General features: G+C 35.4%; 1 protein-coding gene across 3 annotated transcripts in view, besides 1 other annotated feature; it reads right to left on the reverse strand.

Moving 5' to 3' along the window:
• Positions 1 to 18,783, reverse strand: part of ARHGAP6 (Rho GTPase activating protein 6) — a 528,377-nt gene that overhangs the window by 484,462 nt on the left and 25,132 nt on the right. The window lies entirely within an intron of this gene.
• Positions 7,701 to 7,810: a silencer, noted in NCBI's record as "silent region_20659". NCBI's record gives its function as "represses an Ori minimal core promoter by ATAC-STARR-seq in GM12878 lymphoblastoid cells {active_cell/tissue: GM12878}" and the evidence as "EXISTENCE:reporter gene assay evidence [ECO:0000049][PMID:35858748]".

An 18,783-nucleotide genomic window follows, 5' to 3' on the forward strand; every position in this document is an offset into this window, starting at 1 on the left:
ATAACTGCCAATATAAAATTCTACTCCCAGAGAAACCATCATGCAATGTTAAAATAATGATATTACAAAATATAAAACATTAAGACTGTTTAACACCCACAGGCACTCATTAAAAGAACTATGAAAGGATTCATTTCAGCAAAAAGATATGTGAATTCAAGGGAAAGGCATAGGACAAAGGAAACAATTTTGTGTGTCTCATCAATGAAAAACAAGTGACATTGCTGTGGTATGTAAGCTGCTTCACTCTCAGAAATGCCAAATGCCCTTGAGTTTAGTTGTTCTAATATTTTACCTCATACTTCCCACTTTAATATATTGCTTTTAATTTCACTATGAAAGAAAATTCTACTTTCAAGTGAAGAGATGAATAATAAATTTGGGCAAGGAAAAGCATTTAGAGAATTTAATAGGAATTGTAAATGACCAGAATAAATCAATTATACATGGAAAAAAATGTACCAAAGAAACAGAAAGACTGTTCAGAGAAATAGTTACCAAACCAGGGGGTTGGGGGAAGATAGGTAGGAGAAGGGTCTAGAACCATAAAAAATGGGGAGAACTATTGTAACCTGGACCCTGCTGTGTCACAAAAATGACTGATTACTTTAACTGCTTAATCTGAAAAATAAGGGATTGAGGGAAATCAAATTTCCTTGATCCTAGATCAAAGATGTTGGTTAATCTAAAAGGTTATCATTATGGTATCTTTAAGCTGTACTATTTAGCATAAATGATCTAGTAGTCACAAGTATAAAATATTAACCTTGAAATGTGTATATGGATTAGAAATTTTGCTGTTTCCAAGAAAACATTTTGTATTTTTTTAATGGCTCTATGCCAAGTTTTTAGTAGTATATATTCAATAAAGACCATGGAACAAAAATATAGTAATTATCAACAACCTAAGTAAAATCTTAATATTTATAAGTCAAAGAACCATGTTCTATGTTACCTTTACCATTTGCTGATAAAATTGCAAAAGATGAGATCTGGAAAAAGAAGGATGCCCACTTTCACCACTTTTATTCAACATAGTGCTGGATGTCATAGCCAGAGCAATAAGACGAGGAAAATAAATAAAGGACATCTAAATTGGAAAGGAATAAGTCAAATTGTCCTTGTTTGCAGACAATATAATCATGTATTTAGGAAAACCTAAAGACTCTTTAAAAAAATCCTAAAGACTCTGCCAAAAAAATGTTAGAGTTGATAAACAGATTCAGTAAAGTTGTAGTATACAAAATCCACATACAAAAATTAGTAGCATTTCTAGATGCCAACAGCAAACAATCTCAAAAAAGAAATCAAGAAAGCTATTTATAATAGCTACCAAAAAATACCTAGGAATAAACTTAACCAAAAAGCAAAAGATCTGTGCAATAAAAACTATGAAACACTGATTTTAAAAAACTGAAGAGGATGCCTGTAATCCAAGCACTTTGGGAGGCTGAGGTAGGTGGATCATGAGGTCAGGAGATCGAGACCATCCTGGCCAACACGGTGAAACCCCGTCTCTACTAAAAAAAAAAAATACAAATATTAGCCGGGCATGGCGGCGGGCACCTGTAGTCCCAGCTACTCAGGAGGCTGAGGCAGGAGAATGGCGTGAACCCGGGAGGCGGAGCTTGCAGTGAGCCGAGATCGCGCCACTGCACTCCAGCCTGGGCGACGGAGTGAGACTCGGTCTCAAAAAAAAAAAAAAAAAAAATTGAAGAGGACATAAAAGACATAAAATATTGGAAAGATATCCTATGTTCATAAATTGCAATAATTAATATTGTAAAAATATCCATCTTACCCAAAGTGATTTACGGATTCAATGCAATCCCTATCAAAATACCAATGACATTCTTCACAGAAATAGGAAATCCTAAAATTTGTATGCAACCACAATAGAAAACAGAATAGCCAAAGCAATCCTGACCAAAAAGTATAAATCTAGAGGCATCACACTACTTGACTTCAAAATATATTGCAAAGCTATAGCAACCAAGCGGCATGGTACTGGCATAAAAATAGACACAGACCAATGGAACAAAATAGAGAGCCCTGAAATAAATCCACACTTTATAGCCTACTCACTTTACACAAAGGTACAAAAACATACAATGGGGAAAGGACAGTCTTTTCCACAAATGATGCTAGGAAAACTGAATATCCATATGCAGAAGAATGAAACTAGACCCCTATCTCTCATCATATGCAAAAATAAAATCAAAATGAATTAAAGACTTAAACCTATGACCCGAAAGTATGAAACTACTAGAAGAAAACAACAGGGCAAATGCTTCAGGACACTGGTCTGGGCAAAGATTTCTTGAGTAAGACCTCAAAAACTCAGGCAACCAAAGCAAAAATTGACAAATCAGATAACATCAAGCTAAAAAGCTTCTGCAGTGGAAAGGAAACAATCAAGAAAGTAAAGAGAAAACATACAGAATGGGAGGAAATATTTGTCAACTATTCATCTGACGTTAACAACCTGAATATATAAGGAACTCAAACAACTCAATAGCAAATAATAATCATCCAATTTTTAAATGGGCAAAAGATCTGAATTTCTTTTTTTCTTTTTTTTGAGACGGAGTCTCGCTTTGTCGCCCAGGCCGGAGTGCTCACTGCAACTTCCGCCTCCCGGGTTCATGCCATTCTCCTGCCTCAGCCTCCTGAGTAGCTGGGACTACAGGCACCCACCACCACGCCTGGCTAATTTTTTGTATTTTTAGTAGAGACGGGGTTTCACCGCGTTAGCCAGGATGGTCTCGATCTCCTGACCTCGTGATCCACCCGCCTCAGCCTCCCAAAGTGCTGGGATTACAGGCATGAGCCACCATGCCTGGCCAAAGATCTGAATTTCTCAAAAGGATACATAAAATTGGCCAACAGGTATATGAAAAAATACTCAACATCACTAATCATCAGGGAAATGCAAATCAAACCCACAATATGATATCGTATCAACCAAATTAAAATGGCTTATATCCAAAAGACAGAAAATAACAAATGCGGATGGAATGTGGAGAAAAGGCAATGCTAGTATACTGTTGGTGGTAATGTAAATTAGTATAGCCATTATGGAAAACAATATGAATTTTCAAAAACTAAAAATAGAACTGTAACACCATATGATCCAGCAATTCTATTGCTGGATATACATCCAAAAGAAAGAAAATGCATCTGTCAAAGATATATCTGCATTCCCATGTTTTTTACAGCACTATTCACAATAGTCAAGATATAGTATCCATCAATGGATTGATGGATAAAGAAAATGTGGAGTGTGTGTGTGTGTGTGTGTGTGTATATGTATATATGTTTACGTGTGTGTGTGTTTAATAGAATATTATTCAGTCATAAAAAGGACTGAAATCTTGTCACTTGAAGCAATACAGATATAACTGGAGGACATTATGTTAGTGAAGTAAGTCAAGCACAGAAAAATACTTCACGTTCTCACTCATATGTGGGAGCTAAAAAGGTGTATCTCATGGAGACAGTGAATAGAATGGTGGTTACCAGAGGCTGGGAAGGGTAGTGGGGAGGAATGAAGAGGGCTCGGCTAATAAATACAAAAATAAAGTTAGATAGAAGGAATAAGATCAGGTATTCTGTAATAGGACAAATATAGTTAACAGTAATTTGTTATATATTTCAAAATAGGTAAAAGAGAAGATTTGAAATGTTCCCAACACAAATAAATGACAAATGTTTGAGGTGATGGATATCCCAATTACCCAGATTTGATCATTACACATTGTATGCTTGTAACAAAATATCACATGTACCCCGTAAATATATACAACTGTGATGTATCCATGAAAATGAAAAATGAAAAAAATTACAAAAGAGTCATTAAGTTTCCAATAACTACTGAAATTTTGTACTAAGTGTATGCCAAATCTCTAAACAGTGCCTGGTCTATAATATATTCTCAACACATTTTCACAAATAAATAAAATAAAATACCATGAAAAAACAGAATAAGAGAAAAGCAAAAATTGATGAAATATAAAACAAGATGTAATAAAATATATGTAAAAGCAAAAGCTAGTTTTTTTACTGACAAACTAGTAAAATGGCAACCTGTAAGTCAGATATGCCAAAATAAAATATACATATACACAATATTAAGAATTCAAAAAATACAAATACAATAAAATCTTAAATCAGAATAATATGAATGTAATATAATAAATTTCAAAACTTGGATAAAATGGATAATTTTCAAGAAACATATAAATTACAAAAACTACTCAAGAGAAAACATAAAACCAGAACAAATAAATAACCATCAGAGAAATTCAATTGTCAATTTGAAGTCTGCCTTGAAAATGATATCCAGGCTCACAGGGTTTTATGATCTGTACAGACTATTTCAGAAAATGGAAAAAAATTACCCAATTCTCTGAAAGAAGCTAAAATGTTCTTTATACTAATTTGATAAGGACTGTATAAAAAATTAAAATATGAGAACTACCTGACAATGAACACAGATGTTAAAGTCTGGAAGAAAATATAGCAGGTATTTCTTAATGCATCATAAAATGTACATCAGGAATGCAAGGATGGTTCAATGGAAAAGCAAATCTAAAAATGAAAACACCACATTAGTAACTTACACATGAAAACCTATATCTGCATCTCATTGTATTTACCAAAAAATCCATAAAATTCATTACTCATTATTTTAAAAACTCTTAACAAAAATTAAAGAACTCCCAATTTTTAACTTGATAGACATTATTTTAAAATCTAAGACAAGATGTTAGATCACCACTTTCCCTCCAAACTTTTCTGAAGGCCACAATCAATGTAAATAAAACAAAACAAAAATAAAGGAGTTAAGATGTCTAAGAATTGGAAAGAAAGAGATAAAACAGCCCATACTGGCAAAAATATGATGATATTCCAAAGAAAATCTCAGAAATTCATAGAAAAACTATTAGAACAAGTTAGATAATTCAGCAAGGTTGTTTAATCAAGATCAACATTCAATCAATGCCCTTGCTATATCAGAGTAATAACAAATTAGAAAGTAAACATACCATACAAAAAAAATCAATGATAATCCTAAGGTTCCTAGGAATACATGCAAGAAAATTCATACAGGGTATGTTGAAAAAGTTTTAAAATATTGCTAATAACATATAATATTACTTTAGTAAATGGAGAGATATACCATTTCATGACATGAAGTCTCAATATCATATGTGTGCCAATTTTCCTAAATTAATATACAAATGCAAAACAATTCCACACAATATTCCAACATGATTAATCAGGAACTAGATAAGCATACCATAGAACTTATGTAAATGAAGAAGTGTTGAAGAATAGCCAAGAAAATTTTGAAGAATACTCTGTTCATCAATAGGAAAAGAGATAAAATAATTGATATTATACTCATAAAATGGAATATTATATAACAATTAAAATGGATAATTAGAACTATGCTGAGTAAAGAAAATATGTTGCAGAATAATGCCTATCAAATAATACCACTTACAGAGATTTTTTTAAACATGCAAAAATGCTGTTTAGTCATTAATACATAATACACAGGTCACAATAAATTGTCTTTATTATTATGCTTCTCCCAGTAATTAGGTCAAAGTGATTAGGAACCCACATCTGGCTTCAAGTCTTAGCTTTGCCCTTATTGTGTGATTTTGAGCATATTATCTAATCTCTGGTCCTCAGTTTCCTCATCTGTAAAGTGGAGAATTAACATTATTTACATGAGATTAATGAGAGATAAAATGCAATTACTAATCTAATTCACTCAGTACCTGGCGTAATAAGTAGTAATTTCTCATTAAGTGATGATTGCTATGGTAGACATCATTTCCACTATGGAGTTCAGAGACTGGTATATGCAACCTTCAAGCCTTCAGGTAGTGTACACTATTCAGAATAAAACTACTGTTTCCAAAAAATTAATATCCCTAATGGTTAGTTTTCCAGTCAATTCACTGCTTTTTGTCTCTATTTTTAGACCCACAGGTAAACTTTCATTAACAATGTAATATAAAAGTGAATGTCACTGGTAATTTGAGAATAAGTTGAAACAAAGATGAGGCATTTTTATTTGCAATAAAGCAATTCAATATCCAATTGTTTATTAGGCCACAGCTTTAAAAACAGCTGACTTGGGTAGTATTTGAGATTTTAGAAGAAAACAAAATGTACTAGATAGATCTGTCTGTCATCTAAAATGGTTGACATAGAGGAAAATATTTATGATTGTGCTGTCATGGCTAAGCTTCTGAAATAGACATCACAAAGTGATTTCACAGACAATTATTTGAAAGATACAGGGAAAATTCTATTATGGTTACATTTGAAAAGCAACTTTTCCCCCAACATCATCTTCTGATTCAGTAAAGGTATAAGTGAATCTGTAAAGAGGGAATTGTATTATTGTGTAATGCTGAGGATTTAAAGGATTTCTTATTGAAAGCTTACTAGTTTCTTTTTACAAAGCTTTCTTTTAAAACAGCTATATTCTCTGCATATTTTGCATACGTGCAAATGGTAGCAAGACAACATTTCTTTCTGTGATACTCTACAGCTAGTTGGGTCATCAGAGCATGAAGAGATTCTAACCATTCACAATTTTAGGTACTGCTGTGAACTAGAATAATAATAGCCATTTCCTCCAGAGCTCACCATCTAAGTGTCGCTAAAAATCTGCTACGTGAAAGCAAGTGAGCAATGAACAGATCAACTCCTTTTCCCTAGTACGGAGTCTTTTCCACAAAATGGATATAAGAAACGTTTGGCAAAACTGGAATTGTTTTCTCCCTGCTTAAATATTTCATGTGGGTATAAATACTTCCTGTCTTGTTATTAGCAGAAAATAATTATGTGTACTAATCATTCCATAATGTCCAACCACAGCTAATTTTGGTCATCTGCTTACAGTAAGTGTTTAATTATTATTACTGTCATATGATCATCCCCATGCTTCAGATACGTGTGTGTGTGTGTGTGTGTGTGTGTGTGTGTGTGTATACACGAGCTAGAGCTCGAGTCTTACAGATCTTCTATCTTTACTATCTTTACACATCTATACAAAATTACTTAGTTCATTCCAAGAGACAGCTAGGAAAGGAGGGAACCTGCCTACTTTCCTCCATCTCCACCACCTTCATCTGCCATTACCTTTAGTGGCTTCAACATCAGAGCATACAATTACCTCACAGTTCCACAGTTCTCTTAGGTCCAGAGAATTCTGTATTTGCAATTCATGAGTGTGGTCACCCCATCTTAGATATCTGCCATCACTTGGAAGTGCTTGACCTACAAATGTTCTCTGACTACCAACTTCTATCCTTCAATTTAACATATGTCTTTAATCTTTCTACATGTGCTCTTTGTGGTCATTTTTCACTCATTCATTTATGCATTCATTCATTAACAAATATTGATATTTATAATGTATGCCAAGCACTGCACTTGGAACATGGAATAAAATGATAAACAAGACAAACATGATCCCTGATCTAATAAAGCAATTATGAATATAAATATTATATATATTCATATATATATTCTCAATAGGACATTGAATCCTTAATAAAAATTTACTATAAGTCACTCTTAAATCACAAAGGAAGCATTCCATTATTAAAGCACATACTCCCACGAATTGTAAGACAAAGGCATTGCCTCTGTATCCAGGAATAAGCCGCTCCCCAAGGCACTGAGTGGCCACAGGATGGCTGGGCTGAGGCTCGCATTCACACACCCTTAAGAGTTCCCTGCCAAACCTGACCTCATGTTTCAACCACAAACACACAGCTAATAATAGCTTCTGCTCTTAACTTACAAAATACAATTCTTAAAGGCAATTTTTGAGAACCAGCCAGATTTCCAAAAGAAAAATTTCCAAAGCCTAACCAGTAACTACTACCAAAACAAAACTTCTCCCAGCAGGCATATGGCACTTTCAAGTCTCACCAGCAAAGTCCTTTGAAAAGAATCGAAGCTCCCCCAACTAGTGTGTGTGTGTGTGTGTGTATTCACCCTACAGGTCAAGTCTATTAATTACCTCCTGCCAGTTTCTGTTGTCTCAAAGTGACAAGCAATGGGTGGAAAGCTTTTGGGATAGGATCAACAAAAATGTATTACCAAATATATATATATGATAGATAGATAGAAAGTTGTTAGTAGAATTTGGCATGTGTTTAGTAGCTCTGAGGGAAATGTTTATGTAAAGCGTTACATTCAGTTAAAAAGAAAAGATGCAGTGTCATATGTTTTCCACCCTTCAATTTAAAAATCTGATTATAACCTCTTCAATACACTATTTAGGCTACTTGTAAAAGCAAGACATCCAAGAGGTCCAAGTCAAATGATTTCCAAAAGGGCAGATTATGAAACATATAGACATCAAATCCCACTTATGATATAGATGCCTGGGCCCTATAAATCTGTGGACAAATAAAATCCATCCTCTGTGCAGTTCTGTCAGGTCAAAAAGATGCTATGAGGGTGGGGACCATGTCTCTTCTGTTCACAAATGTATGTCTACTGCCTAGTGCAGTTAGCAAGATGGCTGGCATGTACTCAATAAACATTTGATGTTTGAGTTAATGATGAATGAAAGGATGGATGGATGGATGGATGGATGGACAGACAGAAAAGCAGATGAATGCAGATAGTTACCTGGACAGGCGGAGAATGAGTAGGGGTAGAGAATAATCAATGATTTAGGAAAAGATTTCTGACCAATGTTAACGACATTCTTCCTTTGACTGGCAATAAGACAAAATACTCTGAGCAAAGCTTTGAAGTTAGATGAATCAAAGTGTGGATCCTGAAGCGACCTTTGATTAAGTATGCAATGTTAATATGAATAGCATCACCTTTTTTGTCCGATTTCCTCATCGCTAAAATTGAAAAATAAAATTTATTTGTAGGATTATCGAGAGGATGGGATGGAGTAACAATGAAAGCGGCCGCTTGGCTGCCTGGCCAGGCACTGTTTTTTTTAAAATGCTGGGACAAGGTAAATTGAAGAGAGTTGATGATTGTCTCTATGCCAAAGGACATGTCACTCATGTAAATGGAACAGAGATAATAGTTCAGATAATTCAGGCCCCTGGAAATCTACAATCATTTCAAATATGCATAGATAAAAGATCTTGTGCAATGTCTGTGTTGTAGCCATATGTCTTTAAGTAAAATGCTCATCAAAATAATCAACTCTTCCCTCAAAAAGGTAAAATGGGCTGGGCACAGTGGCTCATGCCCATAATCCAAGCATTCTGGGAGGCCGAGCCGGGTGGATCACCTGAGGTCTGGAGTTCAAGACCAGCCTGGCCAACATGGTGAAACCTCATCTCTACTAAAAATACAAAAATTAGCCAGGCGTGGTGGCAGGCGCCTGTAATCCTAGCTACTTGGGAGGCCAGAGGTAGGAGAATTGCTTGAACCTGGGGAGCAGAGGTTGCAGTGAGCCAAGATCACGTGATTATACTCCAGCCTGGGCAACAAGAGCAAAACTCCGTCTAAAAAAAAAAAAAGTAAAATGGACTTTATTTCCAGTGTCTCCATAGCACGACTCCCCAAGTTCTAAGTGTTCCAATGTTATTTTAAGAGATCACAAACTACGGGCAAAGGGAGGCACAAAAGTCTACAGCAGGGAGCAGCAAACATTTTCTGTAAAGGATCAAATAAAAACTATTTTAGGCTTTGATAGCCATCCAGTGTCTGTCACAGCTACTCAAATCTGCTATAAAAGCGCCAAAGCTGCCACAGACAATATGTAAATAAAATGGGTGTAGCTATGTCCCAATAAAGCTTTATTTGGACCTTGAAATTTGAATTTCATGTCATTTTCATGTCATAAAATATTGTTTTGATTTTTTCCACCATTAAAAATATAAAAAGCATTCTTTGCTCACAGGATGTACAAAAATGCATGTATGAAAGGCTGAATTGGGCTCATGGGCCATAGTTTACTGACCCCTGGTCTACAGAAGGTGGTTTTTAAATACCCAGCTAGAGTGCTTTAAGGACTCAGGAATATTTGCCTTAAATATGATGTAAATGTTCTCCTAATCTGACAGTAAGAGTTAAGAATATAATATTTAATATTTCACCTAGAAATGAAGAACTATTGTTAAGCTACTCTATTAGTGAAATTTGTGAATACTTAAAACATGCAGGTATTTGCTGCCAGACACAGATTAGCTAATATCTACATTTTCTAGCAAAGACATTAGATTAAGAAAACAAAAGTAAGGGGAAATAATTTTCTTCTGGTTTCAGCTTAATCAATTGTTGAAGTGTGTTTTAGAGTGATGACAATTGGAAAGGTATTAAATATACTTCATTTCCCAATAATACATAACAACTTGCCATCCTGCTGCTAGAAAGCCTTTGGGGTTACCATTTATGTGACTTTATTAAAACCTGCCTTTATGGGTAGAGAATTGAAATACCTTAAACATAGCTTAACTATTAACATTTGCAAAGCTCCAATTTGATTTGAACACTAATCCTCTAAGTTAGAGACTTGGAATTATTTGTTCTATTCTTTATTTTCCTTTAGCAAATTGCAGCTTTAATTGACGTAATTATAACTCCCACAGATTCCGCATGAATGGTCACAGTGTAAAGAACATAATATAATTTCTACTTCTGTCTGGTACATTAAGACCCAGCAGGAACTGAGGAAATTAGAATTGTCAAATTAGAAATTTCCAGTTCTCACAAATACATGTATTTAAGTGGATGCCCTGCCATATGTAGTTTAAAACATGCTGTAATGGGCACTGCTGGTAGCCACCACATCTTCTAAGATCCCTTTTACTAACTTTGTGTGTCCATCCCTTGGCTTTTGTGGGCTTTGCTGCTAGTGACTGGCACCTGTCCCCTTTGTGCTGAAGCCAGCTCACACATGCCAGAAGTGCCTGAGACACTTAGCCATTGACTGGTGTGTGAGTACCAATGCCCAGAGCCTTTGCCTCATGGTGGAACAAACTCTGAGGTATAATTTACCCTCCCAAGCACCCCGTGGGATCTAGGCTGACCCTGGGACTCCACCCAAAACTACACCCTTGCTTGGCTTCTTCCCCTTCCTACTCCACTACTGTTCTGGCTTCTTTCTAAAGCTCTTCCCTACAAATCACTAGCACTCAAACCCTTAGCTCTGTCTGCTTTGTGGAGAATACAACCTAAAACATATGCAATTGTCTAAATGCTGCTGGTAACAGCTACGGCTACCTGGACAAACATGCCTTGGTTTTTGTTTTACCTTTTCCCTTATAGTATTGGCTGTGTGTCAATACACCCTCCCTGTCCCAGTGCCATGAATGCCTTTGCAGAAACAGTCATAAGCTTGCCTATGAGTAGGATCTCTTTAAACTTACCTTTTGTTTCTCTCTACCTCCCCCATTACTTCTCCATACCTTCTTCTGAGGGACTGAGCCACTGGGAGACCTCCTGTGACCTGCCATGATGGGTCATTTTTAGCATCACTCCACTATACCCACTGTTTCCAATTCACTGACATTCCATCACCCTTTCATATTGCATGTAGCCTGTTGGAGTTCAATCAACCTATATTTACTGAGCACCTGCTTTGTGTGCTTATTCCTCATAGGAAATGTGGAAGTGGAAGGCGTCTGGACAGACTAGCATTTGAGTTCTAAATCACAGTACTGACAAGCTGCACAACCTTGAACCATTCACTAGACAAGATGCATTGAGCTTCATTTTTCTGATCTATAATGAAGGAATTGATGCCTCCTTTGGAATTTGGTGAATGGATGTGGCTTTTTGTTTGAAATGGGGGTGTCTATTACATATCAGTCAAGGGCATGCCTGTCTCCAGCTCCCAGCTCTGTGCTAGCTGTGCTGCTCTCAGTAAGTTGCTTTTTGCCTATTTTCTGTAAAACAGCATTTATAGTGGTACCTGACTCAGAGTTGTTGTGAGGATCAAATAAGTTAATATTTGTAAAACAAATAAGGAGCACTTGATAAATGTTCACTGAAAAGCATTCTCCTATGTGTATATTTACTTATGGATTGAGTGGTTTAAGCCATGTGCTTGGCTATTTTTTTTTTTTTTTTTGAGACAGGGTCTCACTCTGTCTCCCAGGCTCCCAAAGGTTTGGGACTGCAGGTGTGCACCACCATGCCCAGCTGATTTTTCTTTAATTTTTTGTAGAGATGGGGTCTGCCTATGTTGCCCAGGCTGGTAATTATTTTTATTTAAATTCTTAATAAGCTTTAACTAATAATCATATGAAGACATAATAAAATAAAAATTAAAATCACAAAGAGATACTCTTTCTCAAGTTGACTAATTTGTTTAACCATTCAGTGCTGGCCAAGGTACATTGAAATACTCAGAGGCATTTTAATAGCCTAACTTTCTGGAAGGTAATTTAGCAATATTCCTAAATCCTTAAAATTATGCATACCTTTTGGATCATTTATCTTATGGCAATGAATTTTGTTGGGATAATAAGATATGTAGTCATTGTAGTGAAAGATGGATGTATGAGGATGTTCACTTTAGTGGTAGTCATAGTAGCCAGTAATTAGAAATAATCTAAATATCCAATTAGATAAGAATAATTAAAATTTGGCATATCCTTACTATGTGATTCTTTTCCACCTGGAAAAGAAAAATCATATTTTCAGTAATTTTTAATGACACAGGAGATTTTTAATAAGAAAATGTTAAGTAAAAATGCTATTAAACTATAAATGAGACACTCTGTAATTATATTAGTTACCTATTGCTATGTAATAAAGTACTTCAATCTTAGCAGCTTAAACCACACACATTTGTAATCTCAAAGATTTTGTGGGTCAAGAATCCAGGCACAGCTTAGCTGAGTCCTCTGCTCAGACTTTCACAAAGCCATGATCAAGGTGTCACTGAAGTGGGGGTTTCATCTGGAGGCTCAACTGGAGAAGGATTCACATTCAAGCTCACCCACATGGTCATTGGCAGGATTCAATTCCTTAAGAGTTATGAGACTGAGAAATCAGTTCCTTGCTGGCTGTTAGCCAGAGGCCACTCTCAGTTTTTTGTCATGTGGACCTCTCCAGTATGACAGCTTACTTCATCAAATCCAGCAAGATAGAACCGGCTAGCAAGTCAAACTTCACAATCTTTTGTGACCTCATCATGTAAGTGATGTCCTCCCAAAGTTGTCATCTCTTATTGGTTATAAGCAAGTTATACGGAGGGGATTACACAAGGCTGTGAATGCCAGAAGGCAAGGATCACTGTATAGTATATAAATAACACAAAAGACTACTTCAAGGAAACATACCCAAATAGTCCAAGTAATTATCTCTATAATAAAGGATTATGAGTGGTTTTTGGTTTTGTTTCTACATTTTTTTGTATTCTATGAGATTTTTTTAAAATGAGCATATATTACTTTTATAATTAGAAAAATATCCACTTTATATTTTTAATAAATACTTAGTAAAATTTAATTATAATTTTGCTCAGAATGCTACAATTAAGATATTCTCAAATGATCCTTTCTATGATAAAGTACTGCTAGTAAAGGTCTGGTTGTTGTTAAAATGTCTAAATCTGAGTGGACACTTTCAAACATCGGGTGACTAAATGGGTACTCAGGCCATAATTAACTATATTTGGCTTGATTCTTATCCCTTTCTACTGTATAAGATTATAAACCCAGAAGAAATCTCTTTAAATAACCAGCATTTTTGGCACCAATATCCATTATTTTATTCACAAACATAGAGAGGAATGTTACTATGAAGGTAAAGCAACTCAGCAAGAATGTGTTCTCTCTTCACTTTGGGCGTTGCAATATACCTAAGTGCTTCAGCAAGACAGAAGGATAGGACATATCCCTTGTGCTCAAGAAGGTTGCATTCTACTTGGTAAGAGAGAACAAATACATGTCAAATAACAGCAACAATTGTTTCCTTGAAATATATAAAACATCTTAATTTCTGACATGCTGGCACCTCAATGCCTTAATTCAGGTAAAATATAAACAAAGTACTCTAAAGAGCCTTCTTAGAGAAAACTTCATCTGGGCCGTCAAAAGTGGGTAGCACTTGACTACACATGGAAGGAAGGAGAACAATACATTCCAGGTGAGGGTTAACAGGGACAATTCAGGTTATGCCTGTTATTTTAGTGTAATTATTAATAGCGCCTCTTTTCACTTTCCAAAATGCTACAATTTTGACAACAAATTATATGAACACCCTAAGTAGAGGCCATTTATGTTCACTAAATTAAGTCAACCTGCTCAACAGATAATAATTACTATCACCATCAACAAGAGAATGCTTGTTCATTCAGATTATTTGTTCATTCATTGGGTGTGAATTTAACTTAAAAGGGTAATTTGTTTTAATATTTTTACTGTCAGCGCAGACTAATAGCCAATTAGAGATATGGGCTATAAATCAGAGCACTTTTTCATATTATTTTCTTTCTTTACTGTAGAGCTAGCAAGATACTACAGTAGGTACTAGGAAGGCTCCTAAAGCTTCCCGGTAACAAGCCTATCTAGAGTTTGTAGGATGAAAAAAGGTCTCCAATGACTTGGGGAAAAGGGTTATGTGGATTTTCTAGGATTCTCAAGGACAAGGATTGAGATAGGGTTTCTTCTCCAGTTTTCTTTTAAGAAACAGAGTGTAAGGCTCACAGAATTAAATGATTTGCTTGTTTAAAATCAATTAAGATTTTGAAAAAGTGCTGCTGTTTCCCTGGTCATCAGATCAAGGCTCAGGTGGGCATCCACATTTTTCAGTATAATGTGAAACTCGAAGTACTAAATCAACCATCTTTCAGAATTCTTGTCATCACAAGAGAAGCACAACTTGTTACAAAGAGTACACTGGTAACCATAAAATATGAAATTCAAATTTTGGTCAGGCCAAATTTAACAATAACTTCAGTCAACCAAATATGTTGCAGAAAATTTTAGGCCATGATCAATTTGTTTAAAATATTTCTACAATTTCACTTTGTGCAAAGTGAAATTAAAAGGCCCTCACAACATCCAAGTTGAAATACCTACTAATAAAAATGTTGCTTCAATGTAGTACTTTATTTATAAACTTATAGGCTGTAAACTTACGCAGAAAATCTTGACTGAAAGGAGAAAAATAATCTATTAACAAACAGGCCATTTACAGTTGCAAGATGATGATTTTTTTAAGAGCCATTTTTAGAAAGATCCTTATTGCCCAGCATCCATTACTTAGCATGTCATGGGTTTTTATCATGGTCTGACTACTGGCAGCAGACCTCAAACATAAGAGAGTTGAAATGGCCAAGTTGATGTTCAGGGCAATTCCACTAAACTCTGGCAAAAGGCAACAATAATAATATTTGGCATAAAATCCTACCATTTTCCCAGCCACTGCTGGGAGTCCAACAGTTAGCTTTAACAATTCATAAACTTTTTAAAGTTTTATTCTAAATTTTGCTTTCATTTTCATTCCTCCTGTATTATTCCTCTAATAACGTATGAAAAGAAAAACCATTAACCTAATTATTTGCACTCCTATTCAAGAGCTCCTATTCAAACCTACTACACTACCAGAAAACAAAGATAAAATTAACTCTTAATAATAAAGAGTTTGAACTCAAATGGGTCCATGTGAAAAGCTCAAAGACATTTTACTGGGTTTAAATAAAATTCTGTTCAGCTTCTCCCCAAACCTAATTGGATTTTTCAGTAATTGATTTTATCCTATCCTCTGAATTTGTTAGCTGTAATTTTGATTTTTTTTTTTTGGCATTTTAAGTCTTCTTAATTACAAGTAATTAGGTGGCTTCAATTAAAATGATTCTTTTGGGATTCTCTCAAATTGGTTTCACAAATGTTCAGGTAATAAATCGTGATGAATTTCTCCTTATGGAGAAAGAAAAATGAGAAAGATGTTCAATAATACAAATCAGCTGTTTTTATCAAAACAATATGGTCAAAGCTGAAAGAATGATGATTTTTCAATGAAATCAAGAGAAATCTTATTTTTAATTCCCAAGAGGAAGCAAACCAGAGGCTTAGGCAGATAGAGATAGCTAATAACACAAGTATGGCATCCAGTGGTTGGGCACCCTTTGAAAGCAAAATGTAAATAGGTATCACCAGAAGAAACAAAAGTGGGTAGAAAAGGTTGTTCTCAGGGATTTAGCATCTAGGAATATATACTCTAATGTAAAATAAATTCTGACTAACATTTTCAGTTGGACTGAAGAAAATGACAAAGTCAAAAAAGAACAAGGGTAACGCTGAAAAATATACACAGAAGCAATGAAAATTCAGTGGCCTGAGGTGAACTTGCCTGCCTTAAATTTTTGAAAGTTGTTTACAAGTCAGCACACGTTAAAACCTGAAGCTTGAAATAGTGTTCAGGTTCTATGTGCAAATAACCAAACTTCAGGTATTTAGATGAGTTGTCCACAAGACACACAACTAATTTGAACTGTTTAGACACTTTTAGTGATTACTGTCATCTGAAATTCATTCTATACCCCCTATTAAAATCTCTACTTGTTTTCAGTTGCAAAAATAATTCTTCCCAGTATGTGTCCTAAGAACAAGGAGTCAACAAGCATACAGAGAAAACAGGGCCAAATTATTACCACCCCTCCATATTAAATGCAAGTTTTAGTCCCCAACCCAAAGGAAGAAGATAGTAATTTCTAGCAGATAAAAGAAAAATTATATATAGCCCAAGACTATTAAATACAAAGTCATGTCAAAACATCTTATGTACCCCATAAATATATACACCTACTATGTATCCACAAAAATTAAATGTAAAAAGTATTTTTAAATAAGTGTATTCACTAGTAAAAGTGGTCAAACTACTAAATTTATAAATTAGAGTGAATAAGACCTAATGGATAATGAACACCATTTTTAGATAAACATTAGGCTGCGGAGGAATGCCACACTTGTAAATGGGAAAGTTTATAATTTAGCTAATCTGAAAATTGGAGGCTACAAGAAGCATGGATTGACAGCCTCATTTGAAGGGATTTCTGACTGCCAAAAATCAGGAATTTAAACCCAGAGTCTAAGGAATGTGAAAGGGTAAGAAAGTGACAAGGCAGTAGGAATGGAAGGGAGAAAAAACATAAGTCTGAAACAAGGGAAAAAACATAAGTCTGAAACAAGGGACATTGGGGCAGATTATGAAAAGAGTATAAATTATTTTACAATTATGCCTTATTTTTTTATTGTACTTTAAGTTCTAGGGTACATGTGCACAATGTGCAGGTTTGTTACATAGGTATACGTGTGTCATGTTGGTTTGCTGCACCCATCAACTTGTCATTTACATTAGGTATATCTCCTAATGCTATCCCTCCCCCAGCCCCCCACCACCCGACATGCCCCGGTATGTGATGTTCCCTTCCCTGTTTCCAAGTTGTCTCATTGTTCAATTCTCACCTATGAGCGAGAACATGCAGTGTTTGGTTTTCTGTCCTTGTGATAGTTTGCTGAGAATGATGGTTTCCAGCTGCATCCATGTTCCTGCAAAGGAAGTGAACTCATCCTTTTTTATGGTTGCAGAGTATTCCATGGTGTATATGTGCCACAAAAAAATATGCCTTCTTGATTAGACAGCTGCACTGTGGTTTAGCAACAAATTATCATGGGACTTCATTTTTGTTATATACTTTACAGTATATATCTGTGAGAGAAAAAGAAATAGATAAATTAAGAGAGATGGGGGATTGAGAAAGATTGAAAGAAAAAGAGAGATTGAAAGGGACAGAGACATGGAGAAAAAGAGAGAGAAAGAGAGAGAAAGATAATCACCAACCTGCTCCTGACCCCCCACCAACTTCTAACCCCAATGCCCCTGGCCTTAACCATTGGATTTTTAAAAGTAGATCAGAACCATACTTAACATTTTAAAAGCCTCCTTTCAAGCTTAAGCCATTTTTTGTTAAAAATTTTAAGTGATCTTTAGTAAGCAAGAAGGTCATGCTACAGCTATGATTTTGTGCCAGAAAAAAAGTACATGTTTAGATGACTGCTGATGTTAATAGAGGAATGAATCCTCTCACCACTCTTTTATTCAATGTGTTCTCTTACAGTAATTTTTTATCAGCTTCTGATTCCTTAGTTTTAAATCTAACAAAATGTAAAGGAGATGTAAGAACAGTGCCCCGGGAAAGGAAACATGAATATTCCACTCCCTACTTCACCCTCACTGCTCTCTCATCAGGCTATTTGTTGATTCAATGTCCATTGCTCAAGAACACATCAACTTGGCATCTGCATTATTTTCTAGGCTTGTGTCTGCATTTTGCCTCCCATCTGAACATTACAAAAACCCCAAAATACTCATTTATTCAGTGAGTTGAAGAAAAATTCTCGTACACTGGAGTTGGGCGTTCAGCCTAACTCTGTTTCTTTGCTTCCAAAAGTCATAGTGTTTCCAAAATTGAATACATAAATGCAAGTCTGATGAAGAACAGTGCTGCCTCGCCTTAAATAACTTTCTACTGTAAATTATGTGACGGGGCAAACACAGATAAGAAAATAAGAGGTTTGCTCAAATGTCTAAACACTTGCTTTCTGGTTTTGCTGCTTTATCCTATAACTGGGACTCCTGTCATAATTTCACACACACGGTGAATTTCATACCCATCTTCCTTGGAGTTGCTGTTTAGGCTGCTTCTCTCCTGGAGGCATTGTTTGTTTCTTCCCCAACCTCAAACACCCAGAAGAGTCTCCAATTCATATATTGACATTCTGTTCTGTCTACCTCCAGAGGCAGCTCAAAGTA

This window comes from Homo sapiens, chromosome X, assembly GCF_000001405.40.
Source record: "Homo sapiens chromosome X, GRCh38.p14 Primary Assembly".
Classification (NCBI taxonomy): domain Eukaryota; kingdom Metazoa; phylum Chordata; class Mammalia; order Primates; family Hominidae; genus Homo; species Homo sapiens.